General features: G+C 33.6%; 1 protein-coding gene and 1 pseudogene across 18 annotated transcripts in view; one reads left to right on the top strand and one right to left on the bottom strand.

The window, feature by feature from the left end:
• Nucleotides 1-26,337, bottom strand: part of CNTLN (centlein) — a 393,595-nt gene that overhangs the window by 56,047 nt on the left and 311,211 nt on the right. For 14 of the 18 annotated variants that reach the window (XR_007061321.1, XR_007061322.1, XM_017014839.2 and 11 more), the window contains 5 exons: nt 14,873-15,064; nt 9,575-9,672; nt 7,965-8,091; nt 6,470-6,607; nt 5,697-5,882 (listed from right to left, as the gene is read on the bottom strand). Coding sequence is in view for 15 of the 18 variants with exons in the window: in XM_017014839.2 (XP_016870328.1) it covers nt 5,697-5,882; nt 6,470-6,607; nt 7,965-8,091; nt 9,575-9,672; nt 14,873-15,064 (741 nt within the window). In the remaining 3 variants the exon portion in view is untranslated. Of the gene's footprint in view, nt 1-1,436; nt 5,366-5,696; nt 5,883-6,469; nt 6,608-7,964; nt 8,092-9,574; nt 9,673-14,872; nt 15,065-26,337 lie in introns of those variants that run through there. The other 4 variants (XM_024447583.2, XM_047423521.1, XM_011517941.3 and 1 more) reach the window with 3 other exon arrangements.
• On the top strand, nt 23,973-25,586 carry SAMM50P1 (SAMM50 sorting and assembly machinery component pseudogene 1; annotated as a pseudogene).

Raw genomic sequence — 26,337 nt, 5'->3', positions numbered from 1 at the left:
TCCCTAAGGTAGGTGGTGATCCAAAGTTGAGAACCATACATCAGGGGTATGATGATGGGAATAATCATTGGAAGTGAGGATGCTGAAGAATAGAAAGGGAATATCCAATAGGGGATTGGATGGCTTACATGGATATGAAGTCACCATAAGTCATAACAGAATTGTGTTGGAGAGAAAGATAATCCGGGTGCTAAGCTGTATGACTAGCATTCTAAAATGAGATACAAATAATTGGGGTGCGTGACTCTAATATGTTCCAATTGGCTTCTGAGATCTATTTGAATATTCATTCCTACATCTTACTCATCCCAACAGAATTTCTAAGTAGGTATGAATAATACAGGAATTCCAAGATCAACCCTCATGTACCATGTAAGTATCATTAAAGAGGTACCTAAATGAAGTATAAGCAATACTAGGTGGCCTACATAATGAGTAGTGTTGTTACTACATGATATATTCCATATGCCTTCAATTCCAATGCATTGATTATTAGAAAATACTATGTTGTTTGGTTGAAATATACTTCATAATGCATGAATGATCATTTTCCCATCCAAAGTGTATCTTTCAGATATAGTAGAGCCTTCACTGTGCTAGGTTCACTGAAATGTTTTACCTTCCACCCATATATCAAAGCTAACTTTTCATTTTTATAAGGTCACACTTGCCTTGTATTTACATGTTGGGTCTCAGCATTACTTTCCTCTTTTTTAAAATAAACAAATCAGCCTGTTTTCAACACTGGGTGCTACTTCCATCTGGCCTTTATCTTTACTTCTCTCTTATCTGTTACAAAATTGCCTTCTATTACCAGTTCAAAATCTGCTCAGTTGCTCTCTGAGCAACTCTAAAGCCACCTCAAAGGGTTTTGAAAAACCCTGTAAATTATCATTTGCTAAAAACACTGTAAGTTTTAAAAAGTGTCACTCTACACATATCAGTGGAATAATGATCCATAGCTAACACTTATTATCAAGTTAAGTAAAAACACTGTATGGCACAAAGTAAGCATTCAATAAATGTTAACTGAATTTCCAAAAACTGATGTCAGCCTTCTTGCAATTCTTGGGATATCATGAGCTAGGAATTATCCCAATATCTGAGGATATTGTCAAAATATGAATGGTTTTTAGACATACATATCAATTTACTTTACTTTTCAATTACTATAATTTATTGTAACCAGCCACCAATAATGTTTGTGGAAAATATAGTACACGATCCCACTTCTGCCTTATTAGATTTAGTTTTCCACTCTTTGAGTCTTTGTCTGCGATACATGTCATTTTTAGTTTCATCGAATCATTATGGATTGCTTGGACTTTTTTCAGTAAGATTACATTGTGAGGAAGGCAAAAATTCGTGGCTGAAAGACTCTGGAGTCACTCTTCCCATCATGGTTTTTGGGATAAAAAATGAATTTTTAAAAAACAGGTTTTTAAACAGCTTTATTGAGATATAATTTACATAAAGTTTTCCAAATAAGGAAATGTATTTTTATTATGAAACTTTTCTCTAAACACAGCTGTCATTTCCTTTTTCAGTATAATGACAGGGTGAAAAGAGTTAATTCAACTTGAATTGTATCATAGACCTGTTTATAAATCTTAATTAACAGTGCCAAGGTATTAACAATTGTATGTGTAAAATTAAAATTCTAATGCTCCACAAATGTATTCACTAAAGAAGCAAGAAATTTATATACCAAAAGCATCTTACTAAATCTTACCAAAGCAAGTACATATTGATAATGAAACCATTTATGCTTCCAGCTAAATACTGTTTTTTTGGCTGGTATTTATTTCATAGCTAACAAAATCCACTGAAAAGATGGAGCTTGGCAAATGACTCTCACATACAGGCACATTAACAAGCCTGTATCAGGGCTGAGTCAAACTGAGCAAATACTTCTAGAAATTTCCCTTGTGTGTTTTATTCAGTTATTAGGAGAATTCAAAGCCTCAGCTCTGCCACATATATCCAGCCCAGATGCTCAAAGTACTTGATTTCACCCCAGGGCCAAATTCCATATTCAAGACTAGATCTAGAACAGATGGCCACTCCACCTCTACCATAATCTGGTTGCGCCCTATGAATAAATGAAAAGACTAAAGGGAACATAGATTCCACAACAGGGCCAGAACAAACATTATTACTATTAATACTACTAATAATATTTATTAAGTACTTTTGTGTACATGATACCCTAATAAGCTCTGCATAGAATGAGTCCTGGTGATCATAATGTTCCATGTAGGTACCATGTGCATTCCTTAACTACGCTCATTAAGGAATGCACATAGTTCTCACTGTTCACAGAGTTTTCCATTTGAGCAGTGACTATAAGTCCAGTACTATTCTTGAAGCAGACGTAAATCAATTCCTCAAGAATTTACTGAGCCCTGTTATGTAACAATACCCTGAAGACAACAAATGACAACGTTCCTTTCCTCAAGTTGGCTTTAATCTACTTGAAACAGAAAGAAAAATACAAGTTTACAACTGTGTTAATGTACATATAATAAATGTTCAGGAGACGAGTCAGAGCCATACTACTACTGCTATTACTACTACTGATAATAATAGTTGATATTGAGATAGCAATTAGCCACTGTTCTGATCTTTAGCTATTGTAACTTACTTAAATTCTCACTTCGCTTATGTTCCATTATTAAACTCATTCTACAGATAAGGAAACTGAGGCACAAGGAATCAGTCACGATCCTGAAGTCAGAGAGCCAGTAAATGGCAGAGTTGAGCTCTATCCTCTTAACTACAGAGTTAAAGGACAGATTCATGACAGAGAAAGGCCCAGAGTTAAATCTGAAGGAGAGAACAAAGAGGGGAAGGCATTTTGGGTGAAAAGAAAACTTGAGCAAAGGCAGGAGTAAGCACAATATGGGTGAAAGAGTAGTGGGAAAGAAGATTAGACTTCAGCAGAATAACACCCAGCTATGGAAGGTCTTAAGTATTTAAAAAGGAGGAAGCATTGATCTAACGCACCTAATGTGGTAGTAGTTAAGGAGTCATTGATGATATGCTGCTTCAGATGGTGGGTCCTAAGCATTTCTGCCTAGACCTAGGGCCATATGTGCAAGGACAAGAAAGATGATAATCATGCCTTTCTTAAGACCCAAATATCCAGTCTCTGCCATCAATATATGGTTTTGGCTATTAATTTGCTGGTGGCCCTATATTTGAAAAATAGGTTATACAGCAGACATGGTACCAATAGCAACTATATGTTGGCACTAAGACACGGTTAAGAAAAACAAATGTCAAATTGCCATTGGAAGTCATGAGTTATAAATGGTCTTACTAAATGTCAAACTGATATGTATTGTTATTTGAATTCAATTCTTAAAAACAATGTAAGGAAGTGCTTCTAAAACTTTATTATGTATAATAATCACTTCGTTAACTTGTAAAATGCAGATTAGGCTCCACTCCAGACAGGATTTTGATTCAATAGATTTGGGGCCCAATATTGTGTATTATATTTAAATGCAGTAGAAACAGGATTCTGATGAAGGTAATTTAAACCTGAAACAAAGTGTAAAAATTCTGAAAGAGTACCGAAGACAGCCTGTCCATATTTATCATCTTTCCCTATTATATAATCTTTGAAACATTATTCAAATTAAAAAGTCGTGAAAACACAGCAATCCTGAATTCATCTATTAAGACATCTACTCAATATCACTGTTGCTGAACAATATGAAGGACTAACATTACCCTTGAATAATTAGAGTTTAGATACCCACTTCATCATTAAATACTATTTATATCATTGGATATAAAGAAAAAGTTTCTTAAAGATAATTTTTGCTGAACTACTTTGTATGGAGAAATATACCCATTACCTTATCATGGAAGTCATGAAACTTCAAGTATATGATAATCAGATATACAGTCATGAAATTAATTTTTCTATTTTGAAAACTTCTGATTCTCATTCATCCTTCTTTTTTAAAGTGCCACATTCAAAGAATGTTTCAAGGAAAAACAATGATTAGCATTTTGAATAAATCTCATAATTATATATTTCATATTTTATATCTTAGCCAAAAGCTCCACAAACAAAATGCTAAGTTGAATATAAAACAAAAACCAAGATTTATGAAGGTAATACTCATAATAAAAATGGTTCTACATCATGAGTAAAATAATGACTATATATATATATAACTTTAATTTTAGTTTCAGGGATACATGTGCAGGTTGGTTCTGTAGATAAATTTTGTGTTGCAGGGGTTTCATGTACATACTATTTCATCACCCAGGTAATAAACATAGTACCCAATAGGTAGTTTTTCAGTTCTCATCCTCCTCCCACCCTCACCCTCAAGTAGGCCCCGATGTCTATTGTTGCCTTCTTTGTGTCCATGTGTACTCAATGTTTAGGTTCCACTTATAAGTGAGAACATGTGGTGTTGGTTTTTCCTTTGTGTGTTAGTTCACTTAGGATAATGGCCTCCAGCTCCATTCAAGTTGCTGCAAAGGACTTGATCTCATTCTTTTCTATGGCTGTGTAGTATCCTATGGTGTGTATGTACTACAATTTCTTAATCCAGTCTATTGTTTATGGGCATTTAGGTTGCTTCCATATCTTTGCTATTGTTAACAGTGCCGCAATGAACATACGCATGCATGTGTCTTTATGGTAGAAGGATTTATATTATTTTGGTTATGTACCCAATAATGGGATTGCTGGGTCAAATGGTAGTTCTGTTTTTCACTTTTTGAGAATTTCCAAACTGCTTTCCACAGTGGCTGAACTAATTTACATTCCCACCAGCAGGGTATAAGTCACAATATTTAATGAAAGTGTTCACTATAAGTTAAACAGTGAAACTATTCAACAAGCATTTACAAAAAATAGTGTTTTGAATCTGGAAAAGGTAAATTACATTTACTAAAATTAATACTTTGCAATCATTTAGGATCCTCAGAGGCAGGCATTATTGGCTTGACTTCACACCAGTTGAAATATTCATTAAAAGAGATAAAGGAGATAAAATGTTTTATCAATTCATTTTGCAGATATTTTTAAAATGAGAAAACTCCCAAGGTATCTATGATTTCCAAAGAAGCAAAGTAAGGAATTTCCTCTTCGTGGAGTACTCAATAGTGGCATAAAATGTTATTAACTTCTATGTCTAGGGGAATGAAGGCTTTCTAGGGCTCTTCAGCTTTTAGATAATTTCTAGATGGTACACCTCTGCAGATACTTGAGTTTGTCTTCTCTTTGTTCTGTTTGTCATGTGCCATTCCTCTGTCTATTCCATGTCTTGATAGTTTGTGGCCTGGGATTCAGATGTCTCTTAGCATCACTGAACACTGAGCAAGTTTCTGGTTGTTCCTGCTTGAACGATTTTCAAAAGGAGAGTAGGGTGGGAACAGCTTAATTCTTTCAACTTAAAACCTGTCCAGATGACTTGACTACTACAATTTCATAACTAAATTGACATTAAGAAAGAAATATTAATAAGATGGTAGAAAATTTTAAATTCAAACTATAAAAATAAATTCTTTATGGAGGAATTATTAGCAATGTGATAAATAGGGTAGAAGAAGATGCTTTCTGTGTTAGGAAAGCAGAAAGAAACTTTATTCCCCAAATCATCTCAAGTAGGCTACTGCCTATCTGCCTAAAGTAAAGTACAAGTTAGTAAACGACAAGTAATTCAAACCTTCACAAATGTGGTGAACTCTTCTACTTTTTCATTGGCTAACAGCAATGTCTTCTGTGCACCTTCTAGGACCTGTTCACTTTGCAATGCTAATTCTTGAAGCTGCTTAGATGCTGCTGTTTCAATTTCTGCCATTGCAGATTCAGTCTCACTTATTCTTGATACTAGGAGAGTAAGCTTGAGATCCTGCAAAAGATCAGCAGTCATAAAATAAAAGATATTTTATAAACAGATTTGGAAGAGTTAGTTATACATGTCAAATAAGGAAAATATTTTATTATTCTCTCTATGTATTTATTATTTGGGTAAAATTAATGATTATTTTCATTAACTTTCAATAAAACATCCTAAGTACATATTCTCATATACTTATCATCTAAATTAGTTTATGATTTTTAAAGATTACAAATAATTAAAAGCATGGAAGCTATTTTAGACCAAAAGATCCTCCACATAACATGGAAACATTTAGTTTGAAAGTTTAAGTGGGCCTACAAAATTTAGATCTACTTGTATAAATACCAGTGTTCAATAATAGTTTTCATTTCTTAAAAACTATCAAGACAAACACAACCTGTTTTCTCTAATACAGAAATATCTTTAATGTTAAACCAATGTTTGGCGTTTCATGTAGAGATACAAATCCTCTTTGCACTTATCTGAAGTGTTTAAGTAGCTTGTGGTTTTGGGAAGGAAAAAGCAACAATGTTAAAAATGAAACAAACACGATTATATTCCATCTGTAATCTAAAATGCCCTTTTTAAAAGCATACCTTTTTTTCTAACTCCTCTTTAGATTTCTGATACATCTGTTCATACTGTGACTTTTCTTTTACAGCAACGTTAAGTCTTTGCTTTAGTGAATCAATTGATACCTTCTTGTTGGAACATTCTTCAGTTAATGTCTTTACCTACATTAAAAGCATAAAGGTAATTATTATTGTTGAAGGCATTCTAGTAATATACTGTGTTTGTTCCAACAGAAACTAAATGAGTGAATGAGTCTACTTCCATTTATTTTCTCATAACGCTATCAAATTCAAGTATTATACTTACAGAACTCATATTATGAATGAAAGTAACAATCCTTAAATCAGTAACAAAAACTAAAATTGCACACAAACTAAATGAATACTGGTATGTTTATTCTTGCACCCAATAACACAATATTAATGTTCACTACATATCCATTAATTACTAATCTAAACTTCCTAAGGCAGGAGATGATTGTTTTGACTCTGAAACAAGCCAAGTTAAAGGTAACTTTCCATTGTATTCTCTAAAATAACTATTACATACCTTTTTTTGGATGAAATAAAACAATAGGATATTTTATATATATATATAGCTTATTTATAAGATTATAATATGTGTATGTAACTCAAAGCATAACAGAAAAAATAGTTTTTCAGTTTAATGCCACTAAAGATATATGTTATTTATATAAAGATTCCAAGGCTATGTATGAAATTATTATTGAAGTTAAAAAATAGCAAAATTGAAAGGATAACATTGAAAAAGCCTATAGGAAGTGATTTTAACTTGCACAGATGTGTGGAAGAGAAGAGAAAGAAAATCCATATGGATTTGTCATGCTCATGTAAAAGTTTCTTTCTTAAATCAATTTGACCTAAGAGATACTTAAATTTTCATTTTCAACAAGGAAAGTAAAGGAGATGTTCTCTCAGGTGTGGATAACATTTAGTGAATGCCAAAGCACAGGGTGCTTTATGAGTTGTGAAAAAAGCACCTTCAAAAAAAAAAAAACAAAAAAAACCCTTCTACTTTGGGTCATATATTACGTAACTACTTTAACTACAACTCCCTTTGCATGTACAACTCCATTCCCATGTAAAATTCATTAAGGGTATCCAAGAAGAAAGTACATTTTTAAAGAACTTCTGATAGTTATAGGTAATCAAGTTTTCACTAAGAAATATAAGCTTGATTCTATCATAAATTACAGTTTTAAATAAAATACTGAATAAAATGTAATTATGTATCCTAGAAATATTGAGGATTTTTAATCTTCTCATGGGATATTTATAAATAGAAACAGAATGTGTGGCCATATTATGTATGAGGTTTTAGAGAATTGAATTTTAAAATAAATAATGTACTTTCAGAGCAAAGAGTGTTACTTTGTAACAGTAAATACATATCCTATCAATATTTTCTATACATTTATTAGGATTAAATGTTTGTGGTAAGAGAGTAATTACAACAGGAAGTGATATTTTTAGTGTCAGTAAAGATAAAAATTGATACCTTTTTATCAAGATTTTGTAACATTTCACTAAAACTCTTGTTACTTTCCAAATTTACTTTCTGTCGAAATTTCAAGTCCTCTATCAAATGTCTTTTCATAGTTATATCCCTCTCCATTCGAGATATCCTTGAAAAAAAAAAAGGTGACATCAAGAGTGACAGAAAATACCTTAACAGTGGTGATATCTTACATTTTATCCAATATTATACCTACTGTTACTTTTTAAATGCTACGTGATATTGACACTGTAAATCAGTAAAATGAATTGCACTGCATAAGATATTGTTCTTTTAATATTTTGAACACTTGTAAAATCTATAGTTGTGACTTGGTAATTATATAATTACATATATGTATTAAAACAAAATATATAAGAAATGAGAAAAATTAATAACACTTATGAAAACTTAGAACTATTTCATTTAAATTACATTTTTACATTGCTGTGAAAAATCAAAGTGATATATGAAGATAATCAAAAGCATAAAAATGATAAGAAAAAAATCTTATACTTCAATAAACAAATGCAAACTCTTGTAATGAAACTAAATTAGCCATAATATCTTCTAATTTAATATAATTTGAGATTCAATCCACACAGCTGTTTAGCATAAGTTGATGAACTATTAAGTATAAAATGGTAGATGCTGTGAGAACCACTGCTACTGCTGCTGCTGCTGCTGCTACTACTAAAACAAGAATGACAATAGCTAACATGTATCGAAGGCTTACAATGTTCCAGTCACTGTTATAAGTGCTTTACATGTATTAACTCATTTATTCCTCGTAAGAACCTAATTTAATATTATTAAATTTAGGCATAGGCCTAGTAGGTAGGGAAGCCAGGATTCAAAGAGTGTTAATCTAGAGCCCTGTTAAACAATAAGCAAGACTTACTCTTAATTGATAAATAAACTTCAAAATATTATCAGTTAAAAAATTAACCAAGCTTTTTGTCTAATGCTTTTATCTATTCATATCACTTTTAAGTGCTCTTCACTTATAATGAGGTCTACAGGTGTGTTTGTGAGATACATATATCTCAAATGTATCAGTGACAACTGGAATTCTATCTAAACATCTTACTATTTCTAAGCAATAGTGTAGCTTTGAAAGATACAGAAAGAAAATAATTTTGATTCAGTGGGATAGAGCATTTAAAATCTTTGTACTGATAAACACAAGAGTACAAACTTCCATAACCTCCAGTTATTTTAAACACAAACAAAACTTTCCTTTTTTTACCTTAGCTTTATAAGCTTAGGCATTAAATCCAATACAAATACTAATCATATATTTGGGGGGCCAAATAACCACCACGTTGTAAAGTTTTTCATTCATTGTCTCGAAGCCATTAATTTGTATTTATTCAAAATTAAATATGTTTAATAACGGAAATTTAACTTCATCATTATCTAATTTAAAAAAGTAAATAGCTTGCCATTAATCATGCTATACATAGTATTCCTTAAACTTTCATCTTAGGTAGGTTTAAATATGAACTAGGGAAGGAAAACGTAAACATTAGCAGTTTCTTGGAGCACGTTTAATAGAGCTGGTTGCCACTAGGTGGCACCAAATACAATGGATAGAAATACAAAAACCATACTTTTCATGCATTTCCTTTATGTGTTCTTCTTTTGCTAGGAGTTCAAATTTCAAAGTCTTCACATTTGATGACTGTTTAGTGAGTTCATTAGTAGCATTCTAGATTAAAAATAGAAATAAATTTAAATATACCTTACAACCTTGGTCTAAGGCAGCATAAAAATAAGTGCCATTCTAAAGAAGAATACCTCTACAATAATTATGGTAAACAATAATTAAAATGAATATTTTAATATTTTAAATGCTTTATTTTATATGCTGTAATAGAAATAATAATACTAAAACTTTTATATAACATGCCAAACTATAGAGGAACACAATCATTTAAGAATTGCAAAGAGTATGTATCCAAAATACATTTACAGGAAATATGAGTTGTCCTGGTATAATGTAAATATGTGAATAATTAAGAATTTTAATGATTTAAGAAGATCACTTAAAACAAATACTGGATTTACTAACATCTTAGACGAAATATGGTCACAAATGCTTTGCTGCTCATCAAGCAGGGGAATCCATTTCCTAACCCACTGAACGTAGTCTGGCTTGTGACTTGCTTTGTCGAAAAGAATGCAGCAGAAATGAATTGTGTAAATTTCAGTTCCCAGGCCTTAAAGCTTTGTGGCTTCTCTCTTTCCCTTCTTGGAATGCTGCTCCAGGATCACCTTGCTAGGAATACAGTTGATGTATCATGTGGAAGTGTACCAAGGTACTCCAGCTGACAGGTAGTAGACCAATTGTCCGATCTATGAGTGAGGCTATTTTGTATCTTCCAACTAGGGAAATCTTTGGTTTGAAAAAATCCAGGGATATGAGGTAGCCCAGAAGAGACCAGCAAAAGAACTTCCCAGTCAACCCACAAAATCTTAAGAAATAATAAACTGTTGTTTTAAGCCACGATGTTTCGGGATAGTTTGTTAGAGAATAATGGTAACTGATAGAAAACCTCATGAATACTCAATCCTTCTTTACTTGAAGTTATTAATAATGCTACTTATTACATTATTTGTAAATAATTATTAGTTTTTCAAAGCAAAACATGTTTGTTCTGTGGTATTTGTTGTCAGTAGAGCCTAGGAACCAGAGGTGGTAACTAGAGTGTTAGAACACCTTTCAATTTTGACTCTAGTTCCAACTAAATGTGTAATCTAAGACATCACTTAGTCTTTTTGGTATTTAGTTTTTCCACACTCAAGATAGTGTTGACATACTCACATTAATCCATTTGTTAAGTTTTAAAGGTATTAAATGAATATAAATATAATAAAATATAATAGCTTTTAAAATATTTGGAGTAGTTATTTAGCTAATATTTCTAAACTACAATAAATTTTTTCTATTAGAACTATTCCTAGGTTTGGATGTTTGACTCATGCTAAAAATAATTTGAATTTGAAAAGATTAAACTATTAATTACCCAAGGTAAATGTAATTCATCAGACTGACTTTAAATATCTCATGGGTATAACATACAAATAAAACATTTGAAATAATTTTAATTTTTACATGAAACATTAATTTTTCTTAAAAACCCAAAGCTACCTCAACATGGTAACTCTTTTGAATGTTATGTTTTGATCAAATGTGTGTGTAATGTAATCAAAATTTCTACCATATTTTGCACGTTTACAGTGATGTATTGTGTCTTATTTCCAGCACTGCCTGAATAACATGTTCCACACTAGTCACACTAGTCAATTTATCAAATAATTGAAGCGTTTGCTTCAATCATTAATTTTCAATTCTTTCTCTGATGATTGTTCATTCAGTTAGAAATACGGACACCCATGATTATGCTAAGCTAATAGTGATATGTTAATATAGTGATATCATATCATAAATATTATCACTATAAATTATATATGATATACTAATATGTATTATATTATCACTATACTATAATATAGTGATGGCTTTAGGGACTACTGTGATATAAACGTCTACTTATCGCTCCTCTAAATGGTCCCAGACTGTGCTTTTCTAATTTTGTATTTACCTTAACATTTTCATATTGCCTTTTTTTCTCTGTCAATCTTTTGTTTGTAATTTTTTGCTTCTGTGTCATTATTCCTGCCTAAAAACAATCATCCTACCCCTTAATACGCATACTTCTAGTGTGCTGCACTGAAGGTGTTTTCTGCTGAGAAGTAAAATAAACTTAGAATTGTATTTAAAATAAAAGATACAGGCAGTAAATAAAGCCTGACAGTATCTTCAATGCAATGAGTTAAGTAGATATTAAGATAACTAGTTGATTCTTTTCTGTTTTTAGACTTAAGGCTGTATTATGTGGCTGAAAATGCTGTTAACTCTGACTTGGAGAATTGAGAGAAAAGCAATTTATAATAAATAAAACAATGCCAGGTTGAGATACACTTTGGCCAAGATCTCTAAATCTAACAGCTATTTCATTTGATCCTCAAAAATTTTTATCAGATGGGTAGAAAGGTATCCCTGCTTTAGACCTCTAGAGAAGTTAAGTAATTTCCTTGACCAGGTTGACGAGAAGTTAATGGCCAAAAAGTGATCGAAACCCAGCTCCTTTGTCCCTTTTCCATTCCCTACTATACAATATATATCTGTAACATAACTTAAAATCTGGTAATTTCCTTGTAATACATCCTTTGATGTATGATGTGAAACACACACATCAAAAATGTCACAATGGTAAAAAGTCATCCCTGTTACAGCTTTCCTATACTAAGTTTATTGAATATTTTTTTAAAATTTGCATAGTATAGTAATTAGGAGCATGGACTATGGAGCCAGATGGTTTGAGTTCTCATCTCGGCTCTATGTACAGTACTTGTGTGATCTCGGACAAGTAACTTATTCTTTCTGTGTCTCAGTTTTCTCAACTGTAAATGAACCAGAGACATCAGAAAAGTATATGTAAAATTACACAGAAAAGTCTAATATTAACTGGATAGTATAGAAAAGATGTATATAAACTTTTAGTATATTCGAATCTAGCCAATTTTCTCAATTAAGTCTAAAAACATTAAGTAGAAAATAAGCTACTTATTAGAAAATCACTATATTAGCAGTTTGATATCTGTTATGTGCTAAATTCTGTTTCCCCTAAACAAATTAGTATGTAGAAGTTCTCACCGAACCCTCAGTACTTTAGAATGTGACTGTATTTGGAGATAAGGCCTTTAAACAGATAATTCAGGTAAAATGAGGTTATTAGGGTGGAATCTAATTCAGTCTGAGTGGTGCCTTTATAAAAAGGGAAATTAGGACACAGACACATAGAAGGAAGACCATGTAAAGACACAGGCAGAAGACAGCCATCTACAAACCAAGGAGAGAGGCCTCAAAAGAAATGAAAACTGTTGACACCTTGATCTTAGACTTCCAGCCTTCAGAACTGTGAGAATAATATATACGTTTGCTATTTAAGATAACCAGTCTGTGGTATTTTGTTACGGAATCTCTACAAACCAGCATCAAAACAAAAATTTTTAGTAGTAGACAATATTATGTACTTAAAGGTACTTGGTCTTCTAGGAAATTTCTATGTGAAAACATGAAACAAGACAAAAGTAAAAACTTATCCTTTTTGTCCCTATACAGTTTGGTCAGTGTTCCAAGACTCTATGTTAGATTATGGACAATCACTTCACACTAATTGCTTTAGTTCTCTTTCTGACTCACACATTCCTCCAAAGCAAGAGAGAGATTTGTATGTGGGGTAAAAACTTATACCATGGAAAACCATAATGCAAAGAACTTACAGACACTCATATGGATCTATTATTACCAAAAATTATTAGACCATTTGTAGTAAGTAAAATAAGTAAAATATAAATCAACTAAAAACTGTTTATGTAAAAATTATAAATTATGATTTATGTATAAATCAACTTAAAACTATTTATGTCTTTTAGAAGTCAGATTAGACAATACTGGACCTAGCACTCTATTTTATCTTGGTGAAAAACAAAGTTATATCAGAATCATGAGGACTTAAATATATGAAGAATCACAGAAGTAAGAATTAAAGTCTATGTGATAGATAAGATCAAGGAATAGCTCAATGATTTTATCTTCTCTATATGAAACCTTAACACTGAAATGTTCAGTTTACACATTTTATCCCACATTTTCAGAGACACATTTTAGGATTCATGCCCCGAAATTGCACAACACTTCTTCCTTCACATTTCTAATATTTTATAAGTTATTTAAGATTATAAAATGTTGTGACTGACCCAAGTTATACACATAAATTGACTAAAGAAGATGGTATTCAAGAAGAATCCCAATGCTAGTTTGTATATTTGGTTACTATTAATAAAGCAAATTATTTTCAAGCAATAATAAACTCATTCATTTTAAATTTTAGCCTATTTATCCTATGAGTAAATCTGCACTAAAAGATGTATTATTGAAGGGTGCACATATCCTATTTGGGACCGAAAACAATGATGAGTCTATTTGACAATTCAACATAGTATTCCAATACCCTCCTAACAGGGATGATTATTCCATTTCTAATGTACTCTGTGCATTTACAATCAGGATTTTCTTTCTAGTGACTCACATTATAGCAATGGTCCCATATATACTGCTCTTTTTAGCTTCTAGCTAGCAATCCCCACTGAAGAAAATAATTAAATATGTGAGGAATAAATGGGCTTAAGAAGCATGAAAATGAACTTTCCAATTAAGTGTGAGGATCACTCACAAATCCTATTTCTTACAAAGTAATTCTATTTAAACTAAGGACAGCCTTACTTTTAAGTTGCTGACAGTTTCGCTTGGTCTTAGATTCTTTTTTTTTTTTTCTCTCCTCTCATTGCTTTTTCTCTACATACTTCCTACTATTTTAAGTTGGTTGTTGGTTGGAGACAGAGAAGGAGGAGATAAATGGGAGGGAGAAGAAGCAGAGAGCAAAAGTGGGTTGGTTTCATTCTCAAGTTTAACTTGCTGGAAGTATGTAGAGAAAAGCAATTCTGTTTATGTTGACGCATTACATGCCTGAAAGGATTCTGTTCAGCTGGAGGGAGGCATGGGGGCAGAAAGAAGTATTAGAGTAGCAGATATTGGCCAGTTTAAATCAGCTCCTAAATTAGGATTTCATGGTATCTTGTCTTTTTCAGAGAATGGTAGTATTGATTACCAGATAAGAATCTACCAGGCTAAAAATTAATGATGAAGGCAATATTAATAATTTTTTGGATTATCTATAACATAATTTACCTTTATTAGAATAAATTAGTGTTCATATAAATATGTCTTGCAGGATTCAAGCATAATGTATGTTTTCATGCTTAATAAATTTTATAATCACCTTTAGTTTATACTGCAATTGCTTCATTTCCAAATCCATGCTCCTTGAAGGACTAAGTGATGTAACTTGTATCCGTGGAAATGTTACCTGGGAATTTTCTTCTGCCAAACTTGTGATTTCAGATGAGGACTCCAATTTCTTTAGTAAATCTTCTTTTTCTTTCCGAAGCCCAGCCAAATCCAAATTTAGCTTCTTTTTTTTAAAAAAAGAAAATAAATATAAATATATTTTAAAAGTAACTATATTTAATCTAACAATTATCAGCATAAAATTCTACAGCTAGGAAAATATTAAAGAGAACTGAAATTAATTATAGTTATTATACAAACTTTACAAAAATCTTAACCTCTACTAGATTTTGCTTATAGTAGTATGGCTTGCAAAGGTAAAACAAAGTGAACCAGCTATACTCAATATCTTTTGGTTGGCTGGTCCTGACTCATGATGCACTATTTCTTTACCTTCACACATACATGGGTGAGCCAGACATTCACATATTTGATAACCTTGACTTCAGAGCTGATGTAGTACTTAACTGGGAAAAGCCAAGCTGGAGCAGGACAAGATAACAGATGTTAGCTGTTTATTCCACTGGGTAGGTCTTACCATCCTATATAGCAGCCAAAATGCTTCTCATTTAGCAACATAAATGTTAAGTCCAATTAGCAGACGAGGCTTGTTAGAGATTTAGTTCAAATAAATAGCGTGCAAACAAACTCGCTCAGTTTTATGCACTTGATTGATTGTTGAAAAGTCCTGTTTCTAATGTTGAGGTAGAAATGCACTAAACTCCTTACATTTTGAATTTTTAATAGCATAAACATTTTGCTAAATGACATAATAGTAATGTTTTTATGAAGGAGTATAAAAGAAACCCATCTTAACGTTAGCCTTTCTCATTCACCCATCTATAGTGAGCAGAATGTCACCAAACTATAATGGCATAACAACTCAGAGCTGCTTAAGAGGGTGTTTGCATTACTATTTTATTATTCCAAAGAAGCTTATAATGTGGTACCTTAACATAAGGTACAATTAGACAAAATGATACTGAAATCTCTCAGAGGGGGAAAAATCTTTCTTTGTTGAAATTCCAATTAGAAATAGCAAAAGATGTAGCTAAAGTGTACAGTAAGATAAACATGAAACATGTTACTTAAGTATTAACACTATATTTAAAACACAATTTCTAGAAACTATACCATAATTATATATGTATTTGTATATGTAAGTGCATATTATTAAATATGAATATTTCAGATCATGGACTCAAAACTAGAACTTGATATACTTGAGATCAAACTGTTTTGGTAACATAAAAAGTATGCTGTGGTGAAAAAAACTATTTGGCTATATTTTAGCTTTATAATCTAAAAGTATGGTTCTATAGATTTTTAGGAAATTGTTTATGAAATTTGTTCCATGAAATTTGTTCATGAGTTGCCCCAAAAGAGCCTAATAATTAATATCTAAAAGTAAACTCTTAATCTCCTTAAACCTGGAAATCTTCCTGGCTAATATTCAACCTTGAATCCATCTCCCTCCCTATTTGTTCATTCTCTATTTATTCATCCAATCGTCAGGTTCTATAAATTACACAGTGTTTCTCATTTTCATTCCTTTCAGCCACTCTCTTAATGCAAACCCTCATTATCTCATTAAGATTATTACAACAACCCTCTCTCTCCCGTCAACCTTTCCCTACCTTCATTCCACCTTTTATACAACTTCCTAAAACTACACTGACCAGTTATTCCCTTAATCAAAGCCCTTCATAGGTTCTTCATTCCAACAGAATAAAGCTCAAATGTTTGTGGATAATAAGGCTCTCTAAGATTAGGCTTCAATTTGTGTTGCAGTCAGGCATCACATGAAGCCAAACCTGCCTGCCATTCCCCAAACCTGCCTGCCACTCCCCAAACCTGCCTGCCATTCCCCAAACCTGCCTGCCATTCCCCAAACCTGCCTGCCATTCCCCAAACCTGCCTGCCACTCCCCAAACCTGCCTGCCATTTTTACATGGATGACTCTACACGTGGTGTTTCTTTCTGCTGAAATCTGTCTCATCTTTAAAGGGCAGCTTAGTATTCCTCCTTCTTGAAGGCTTCTTTGTTCTTTTCTTCTTACTGGGATACTTAGGTGGCTTCTCTCATTTGTTATACTTGTATGCCACTAGATTTCTGTCTAATCTTTCTACCTGGCAGATCCTGACACTATAAATGTACCTCCACTGAGGAAAGACCAAGTCAATAAATACATTCTTCTAAAAGACATGCATATGTAACTTTCAACTTCAATTTAACAATATAAAAATGTATTAAATGAAGAAATACTGAAATTATGGAGGCAGTAAACTAAATGACTTGTACTTTATTAAAATATAATGTTTTGATTAAACAATATTTAAAATCTACAATCTTGAAAACATATTTCCAGTGTTAGGTATATATGCATAGAAATGCTATGCAGCATCTGTTGAAATAGAGGAAATATGCAAATCACACATTCCATCAGTTTGGAAACCTTTGGTTCTCCTTAGCATTGTGGACAAATAACTGGAGCTCTATTACTAACTTCTGTCGGTTTAAAAAATTCTACTTCTTACTTGAGAAAGCTATAGATGAGAAAAAAATGTATAAATAACTTTCTTTTGCTTACAAGTGCTCTAGGCTGTGAGACAACTTTTGTGGGTGACCTTGTTAGAAAGAGACTGTGCTATAAAATCTACCAACAAATTAAGATTACTCTTAAAATTGTGATTTTTCTTGTTTATTAGCAGCATGATTCCTATTTCTCTACTATTACCTTTCCATCTTCAAGCAAATATTTATAAGCATTTAAGTCACGTTAAGAACAAGTGAAAACAAAACACACATGGAAGAGTCATAATTTCCGGATTCGAATTCTCTGGGTCTACTGCTTACCAGCTGAGTGAGCTTACATAAACACATGGCTTTGTTTCCTCATTTAAAAAGAGATGGTGCTTGTCTACCTAACAAAGGTGATCTCGAGGACAGAATCTTAAAACGTCTGTGATTGCACGTAGTAGATGTTCAACGTGCAGCATTATTGTCAGCATTGTTATCTTGTGGTAAAGGCTACTACATAGTGTCTGAGAAGCGTGTTAAAGGCTGAGGAGCTAGATTAATAAAACTTTAACACGTATATACATAATAACCTGGTAATTTCTCCCATGACAGAAAACTTTAGCTCGTCTTAAGTCATAGTTACTTGTTTGACTAGAATCAATCTAGGATCCCTCCTACACTACTACACAGGTATTGAAGGCAGATATGCTCCTCTGACTCTATATCCGCAGCAGTGCAATCCGTCTACAGTCTCCTAAACATCTATTTCAATTTAAAAGTTGACTTCAATAAGTACTGAGATTTGTATTGATTTATGTGTAGTCAATTATTTCTAACCAAAGGTTATAAAATAGAACTTAACACTATAAAATTTTTAAACTAGACACTATCTATTAATAATTTATTTAAATTTAACATTGAGGAAGCATAAATCCCTGAAAAGGAAAGAACTCTCTAAGCGACTGTAAGAAGAAATAAGAATGTACTGAAAAACTTACTCTTCAGTATAATATCCTGTGGTAGACACAATTCTCAGATGACTCATGCTCTGGTACAATACCCTCCCCTTGTATGGGACCCAGAAATACGATATGCTATCATTCCCATGATTACATTACGTTATATGCAAAGAGGATTCTGTAGATGTAATTAGGGTCAGCGTCCCTAATCAAGTTTCTGAGAGCTAATCAAAAGCAAGCTTTTCTTCTCTGGTCCTGACCTAATCAGATGAGCCCTTTCAAAGAAGGCCAGAGGCATTCTCTGAGATCAGGGAGATTCCCCCGTTGGTTTTAAAGAAGTAAGTTGCCATGTTATGAGACGAGCTACAAGTCAAGACCTAAGGGAGGCCTCAATGAGTTGAGAATGATCCTTGGCTCTTAGCCAGCAAGCCACGGACCTCAGTCCTATACCCACAAGTAACTGAATTTTTCAAAAAAGGCAGCCTGGCTGACACACTGATTGCAACCTTGCCACATTCTGAGCAGAGCACCCCACTAGGCTGTATCAGACTCCTGACCCAATGACACTGTGAGGTAACGAATGCATATGTTGTTTCTCAGCTGCTAAATTTGTGGTAATTTGTTTTGTAGCACAGAAAATTAATATGGGTCCTGATTTTTTTTAATCAACACCTTTCTAGAACTTATTCTTGTTCTCTTACTACCACTCTGTCCCATCTCAAGAAAGTATCCCAAACCCCACAGTGCGTAGAGTTTATATAATATTCTCACTCTGGATTAATTTTGTTTTCTTTATCCATAATTTTGTATTCATTTTATTTATTCAATTGCTTTACAAACTGTCCCATTTTCTTTTCAGATGAGGTCTTGCTCTATTGCCCAGGCTGGAGTGCAGTGGCTCAATCATAGCCCATTACAGCCTCAAACTCCTGGGCTCAAGGGATCCTCCTGCCTCAGCCTCCTGAGCAGCAGGGACTACAGGTATGCACCATCATACCCAGCCAATTTTTAATTCTTTTTGTAGATATGGGATCTTGCTGTGTTGCCCAGCCTGGTCTCGAACTCCTGGCCTCAAGCAATCCTCCCGCCTCGGCCTCCCAAAATGCTTGGATTATAGTCATGAGCGACTGTGCTTGACCCCCATTTTCTTTTTAATTTTTTTTGTTCTTTTTCAATTTATTTGTATGTTCCATTTTCTATGCTAGAAATATAAATTGCCTCTACCAGATCTGCATTTTGTAGTTTAACTGACAAGCAAAAAGCCTCTGACCAGAAGCTTTTGTTTGCTGCTCTCAGCTGCAACTGTAGGATCCCATGAATAGGGTAAATTAGTCACCCCTGGCCTATTTTCCCTTGTTTTCTTATATGGGATTTCATTCACAAACTGCTTTTTTTCGTGGCCCCAACTTGACATTTGCTGGGAGATTTAGATATGCAGTACCTAGATTCAGAACCCGATTCAATATCTATCATTTATTCTTTTTACACACACTATGTAGTTGGCACTATACTAGTTCTCTGTTTTCAGTAAGAAAAAGGTTATAAATAATCCTTGCCTTTAGGTAGCTACTGGTCTATAATCCAGAAATATGTAACAATAAACTATAGTAAGTGCTATGAAGAAACAAAACAGGAAGCTGAGGGAACTGCTGCTACCTTCAATTCCTGTCTGGTAAATGCTGGCTAGAGCTTGTTTCCCTCCCCGTATTCCCCTGATTTGTTCTGTAAAATGTGATCTAGAAGCTAAGTACAGCATTGAATGTCCTAGCTTAGATCTATGACCACTCTGCTTTCCAACTTTTAGTCAAGAGAAGGTAGTTGCCAAGTCACTGGTCAGTAAACTGGGGGCAGTCTGAGGACATCAGGCATCCCTTCTCCATCAGGGAGACCTGGTAAACATTTTAATGTTTAGGAATGAACTACCAGAAAAAATAAAACAAGGCCCTTGGAAAATATTCTTCAGGCCCAATAATGAGAAATAAAGGGCGTAGAAAAAAAGCTGAGAAAATCATTTCCCTAATTACTCCCAAAACAATATATTTTTAGATACTCTCTGATCTTGATGTCTCTAAAGAATAAAATATTCAATATCTGCCTATTCAACGAACATGTTGCTAGTTGTAGCACATGTAAAGAAAATGCTGTTGGGTATCCAACTAGTTTACAAGCAGTGCTCCAAGGGAAATGAATGGGATCGGGTATAGCTCTTTACTTCTAAAATGAAAGTGATTCTGACCTACAGCTTTTTTCTGGACAATATCCATCCTACAGCATTCAAAGACACAGTTCAGTCTTTCCCATTTGTTTTTTACCACTGGATTAAAAATTTAAAGTAATGAACCATTTAAAAAATTTGGAAATATTCTTAGTTGGGATAGTGGAGTCTGAAACATAAAGACACAAAATTCTAGTAAATCCAGCCAAACATGAGGTGGAATGCCAGAGACACTGGATCAGGGTTTCTTGGAGGCCCATGGAGGAAACAGCTGGTGGCCAAAGAACACTTTGCAGTCCATGCTGGAGCAACGGTGAGACGCTCAATATTGAAAAAGGCCAATCAGTAACCAGAGTAAAAAGTGAGGCTTAGTTCCCATCTATAACAATAATGTACTCTCCGAGTTTTCTTTCTCATTTTGAAAGACAAAGGGCTTGACAATCCAAGTAGAGAAAAGCAATCATTAAACGAGAATGATCTGTTTCCAATAACTTCTCCAAAATCTCTCATCTTAAATTCTGCTTAGGACTGACTTAAGACTATTTAATGTTGAATACAGAAATAAGTTCATTTACATTCTCATAATCTGATTATTCTGATTCATAATTAAGTACAGGCAGCAATTTTAAAATCTTATTATTGTGTTTCTAAAAAATTACAACATAAATTCTGTTACCAGAATGTAAATAAATGAGACTGGAGAGAAAATTCTAATTGAACAGAATATATGTAAATTCTACAGGCAAGAACTCCCTAGAAAGTCACCATAATCTTAATGATATTCTCCCTCCTGTGAATAGAATCAACGTTCTTTTATTGAGAATATTATACTTTTAAAGGGGATAAAACTGAAAGAAATAAAATTCTGCATGCTGTCCAGGTATAGGACTAAATTCACAGTCAATTCAAATGTATGAGTTATCAAGACAATGCTATCATTTTCTATGTCATTAACAAATATTTTCCATACAACTTATTTAAAAAGGTAAATAGTTCAGATTAATAACTTCCAAGTTTAGTAATTTAAAAGTAAGACTTTTAAATTTAAAACATTAATTTTCTTGTTACAATACTTGAGATCACTAAGAGAAAGAATTAAAAATTAAAAACCAATAACCAAAAAAAACCCTTAGGCAGAGATGTAATTATTTATGTAACAAAATTTCTTCTGAAAAATCCACTGAGTTACTGCATCACTCATTTATATACTATTTTCTGACAACTGCAGTTATGAAAGGGCTACACTATGTTTCACAAAATGTCAAGCAAATGAAGGTAATATAGAGGACTTTTCACCAATGCTTTTGCTAGTAGTTAGACTTCAGTAGCCTTTAGAGACCATTAAGTACCTTTTGGCTAATTGGCCAATGGTAGATTAATCCTCTTTTTATTCCAGCAACACTATTTTAACACCCTTACACTCTGTCAGTGCAGAGTCTGAATGACAAAATAATATTGTGCATGAATAATAAGCAGAAAAGTTAAATTAACATTTCATGTTTCACATGCCATACATAGGTGTCAGAGGAACTTTCTTTTTTAAGTCACTGACATTCAACTTTTTTAAACAATCTCATGTTGACATCTTATTGAGGTGAATCTTCCTAATTACTGCTAATTGCCTATCAAGAAAAAAAAACTCTTTTCATGAAGTGTAGTTGTCTGCTACAGATGAACCCAGCTCCAGTGTGCACATTAAAGACACAGCATGACACTTAAGGTGCTACTTTGTTATAAGGTCATACTAAATATGGTTTACAATTAACAAAGCAGTTTTTTTATGGGTCTGAAAATGCCAATCTGTCTTGATGTGTTCAAATTAGGTTCTATCAGAGAAATATGGATATCTGCATATGGATAAGAGATACGCTACTCTCAATAACATTTACAAGGAGTTAAATTAATTCAATGCCCTTATACTTTGTAACACAAGTTCTAGCTAATGTCCAATTAAATATTTTGTAACTGTGTTTAAATATTTCTCAAAATGAAAATCAACACTATTATTTCAAGTGTCAAATTATTCAAAACAGTTTACTAATACTTTTAATTCTGAAAGACCAAAAATACTCAAAACATTTAACAAGTACTTTTAATTTATATGAATAGTTTTAACATTATATGCCTTTATAGCAAATTTTAACCTATGTGATATTAGCAAGGTAGTGTCTTTCAAAATAATCTGAATAACTAAATGAACGCATTTTAATTGGATTTGTTGAACCACATCACTTAAACTTCTGTTCCCACAAGTATGGGGAAAATAATGGATAGTAAAAACACGTTATATGTGAAATTTAGAAAGTCAACTAATACAATTGACTTTCAAGTATTCACGGGAAAAATAAACATTTGTCTATTCACAGAAAAAAGAGTTTGACTGTTGGTTTGTTGTTATTTCAAATCTTCTGTTTAAGTTACGAGAAGAAAAGCTCTCTCTTTTTTTTTTTCTTTTATTATTATACTTTAAGTTTTAGGGTACATGTGCACATTGTGCAGGTTAGTTACATATGTATACATGTGCCACGCTGGTGCGCTGCACCCACTAATTCTCAGTAAACTATCGCAAGAACAAAAAACCAAACACCGCATGTTCTCACTCATAGGTGGGAATTGAACAATGAGATCACATGGACACAGAAAGGGGAACATCACACTCTGGGGACTGTTGTGGGGTGGGGGGAGGAGGGAGGGATAGCACTGGGAGATATACCTAATGGTAGAAGAAAAGCTCTCTTGAAAACTAAATACCAGGTACTAAATACTGGGACAGATAATGGGAACCAAAAGTATATCCAGAATAATTCATCATCCTCACTACCAACATAATTTCTCAATGTTTATATGGTAATATTATGAGTTCAGTCATAGCCCTCCTAAACACGAGACTTACATATGACATGCTTACTAATGACTATGAGGTTGCAATGCATACCCATTCTGACTCCTTTCCTCAATAGGAAAGAAAGAGGATGGTAGCGCTATTTGATGTCCTAAAGGAGAAACTGTGCAATGTCTTTCGGAACTCCTCTTTTTCACTCTCCTTCTCCTGCTTAAATTCAGTTAATTCAACATAGAAATAGCTATTCCTCACATGTCCTATTTACTATTCACCACTTTAATTATATTCTTCCTTCACCCTCTTTGTCAATATTTTTTTGTTACTGGAGTTGAGTGGCAGTAAGAAGAAAAGAATCCATCCCAATTTAAAGATGTTTTAAGTGAATGTCCACTCAAAGAACCAAGAAAAAAAATAAACATGCCAGATCAACAAAAATAATACTTGATGTTTCAGGGTGATGTTAACAGCATTATCTGTATCTAAGTAAAGAACGGCAGCCTCCTGCCCTCATAACCAAGGCTTGGTCAGGCCTGGGGAGCTCTATGAGGTGGCAGCAGGAGAAGGAAGCCTGAGGACATTGTACACGCAGAGTTTGGAGCCTCTTCCACCAAGAGGATCTGGCTTTGGAGCATCAGAAAATGAAACTGAATTTGCTGAAGGTGAAAGTGAAGCTAAACAGGAAATTCTTAAAAACAAAGATCTGGCTGTTCAACATGCCCATTTTTATGGGCTTGGATGGACTAAATAAAGATAATATCACCGTTTGTAAAACTGGAGATGTTTTTAAGGCTAAAAATCTCATTGAGGTAATGTGGAATTCTCATGAAGCCCGTGAAAAATTTCTTCATCCAGGAATTTTTTAGACAAGTGAATTTTTTGAGTGATACATGTCAAGGTGACAATGCATTTCCAAATGGGTTAGATGTTACCTTTGAAGTAACTGAATTAAGGAAATTAATGGGCAGTTAAAACACCATGGTTGGAAACAATGAAGGGAGTACGGTACTTGGCCTCAAACTCCCTGATCTTCTAGGTTATGCAGAAAAGGCGACTTTTCATTTTTCCCATGGAACAAAAGACGCTTCCCATGGCCTTTCTTCAAACCATGGCCCGGAAACTTCAAAAGGAATTTATCTGTAAACTTACATGAAGTTACTGAACAGTTCCCTTGGAGCTCACTTCCGGAAATGAACAGAAGATGATCAGCCAAGTACAGTCTTCCCATATGAAAGACCAGCCACACCAACAATTGGAAAGGCATGTGGCGAGACCTGGGCTGTCACTTAAGGACAGCATCATTTGCTGTTTGAAAGTAAGGCAGACATTCACTTAAATCATGTCTTTCACATGCCATGGTCATCGATTTTCAGAATTCTTCCATCTTACCAAGAAAATGTGTTTTGCTGAAAGTTAACCAGGAACTGACAGGCTACACTACAAGGGATATAAGCTTCATCAAAGATTTTGAACTTCAGTTGAATAAACCACTCATATTTGATTCAGTTTTTTCAGCAATTCTCTGAGGTGGGATGTTGGCACCCATGGTGATAAACTGTGAGTCCTGCTGATAGTTTCACCTTGGGGGACCAACAAGTGTCCAAGGATTCAGCATGCACAGCACCGGAGCAGAGTGCAGGCGACCACCTAGGTGGAGAAGCACGCTGGGCCAGCGGACCGCAACTGTGTACGCCAACACGTTTAAAGCCAAGCCAGGGCAGTTTGGGAGAACTTTTCCAAACACTTTTTTCTCAACACAGGAAACCTCTGCAACCTCAACTATGGGGAGGGCCCCAAAGTGTATTCGTGAGCTGGCTGAATGTATCTGCCAGTTTTATGGCACCAGGATTGTCTTTAGGCTTGGCAACATGGCTCTGTTGGAACTTAATTACTACTTTCCTATGGGAGTGCAGACAGGCAACAGGATATGTGATAGCATCTAGTTTTGAGCTGGGATAAGGTTCCTGTAGCTGACACCGCAGCGGGAGAAGCTCTGGGACCCTGATGGCAGTGAGTTGCCCACCAGGCAATTTCTCTCAGAGTAAATGCGGATGAGAGATTCTTTGACTGCAGTCTATGTGAAATACCGCATTCATAAATTTTAAAGACATACACATGAAAAGAGGCCATAACTTTTAAAGTACAATTATAATGACTGAGTTATCAGAAACAGACTATGAAATATCTGCAGAAGTCTCATGAAGACTGCTGATTCATCTCTGATTAAACTTGGTTTTCCTAGAAATCAGATTTCAATACTTTTATTTGACTGTTTTCTTGTCCTTGTGGTGTGCTATTACAATAGTATTACTTCTTATTTTATGGTATTTTATTGCTCTAAAAGGCCTTTGTGGACTAGCCAGAGGAAATCAATATCCATATATAGTATTAAATTGCTCATAATACTTAATTCCTACATAAGCTTCAAAAGAGAGGCATCAGTATTCCTTAGAATAATTTTTGACTTCTAAAAATTTATAATAGACCATGATATATTTCTGAAATTTAAATTTTATAAGATAAAGAATTTCTCAGTAAGCCTCTGAAAAGTATGAATATAAACATTAAATTACATTTGAATCAGTTCTTAGGAAGACTACATTATCACATTAATCTAAATTAAATATTACCAACTTTGGGGGTTATAGAGTCAAAGGCTAAAGATCATCATTTGCAGCTCCAAATTCATATATTCAAGCTAGCGAAAGACATATGTTTCTTAAATATATCCTAAATATGAATTACATCTTAATACTTAAAAACGGAAATATTTTCATGATAGGGTCTGTAGGGGTGGGTTGCCCCTCCACACCTGTGGGTGTTTCTCGTAAGGTGGAACGAGAGACTTAGGAAAGAAAAAGACA

Source organism: Homo sapiens, chromosome 9, assembly GCF_000001405.40.
Source record: "Homo sapiens chromosome 9, GRCh38.p14 Primary Assembly".
In the NCBI taxonomy this organism is placed as follows: Eukaryota; Metazoa; Chordata; class Mammalia; order Primates; family Hominidae; genus Homo; species Homo sapiens.
The sequence above is the reverse complement of the archived record's forward strand: the minus strand, read 5'-3'. Positions and strand labels throughout refer to the sequence as shown.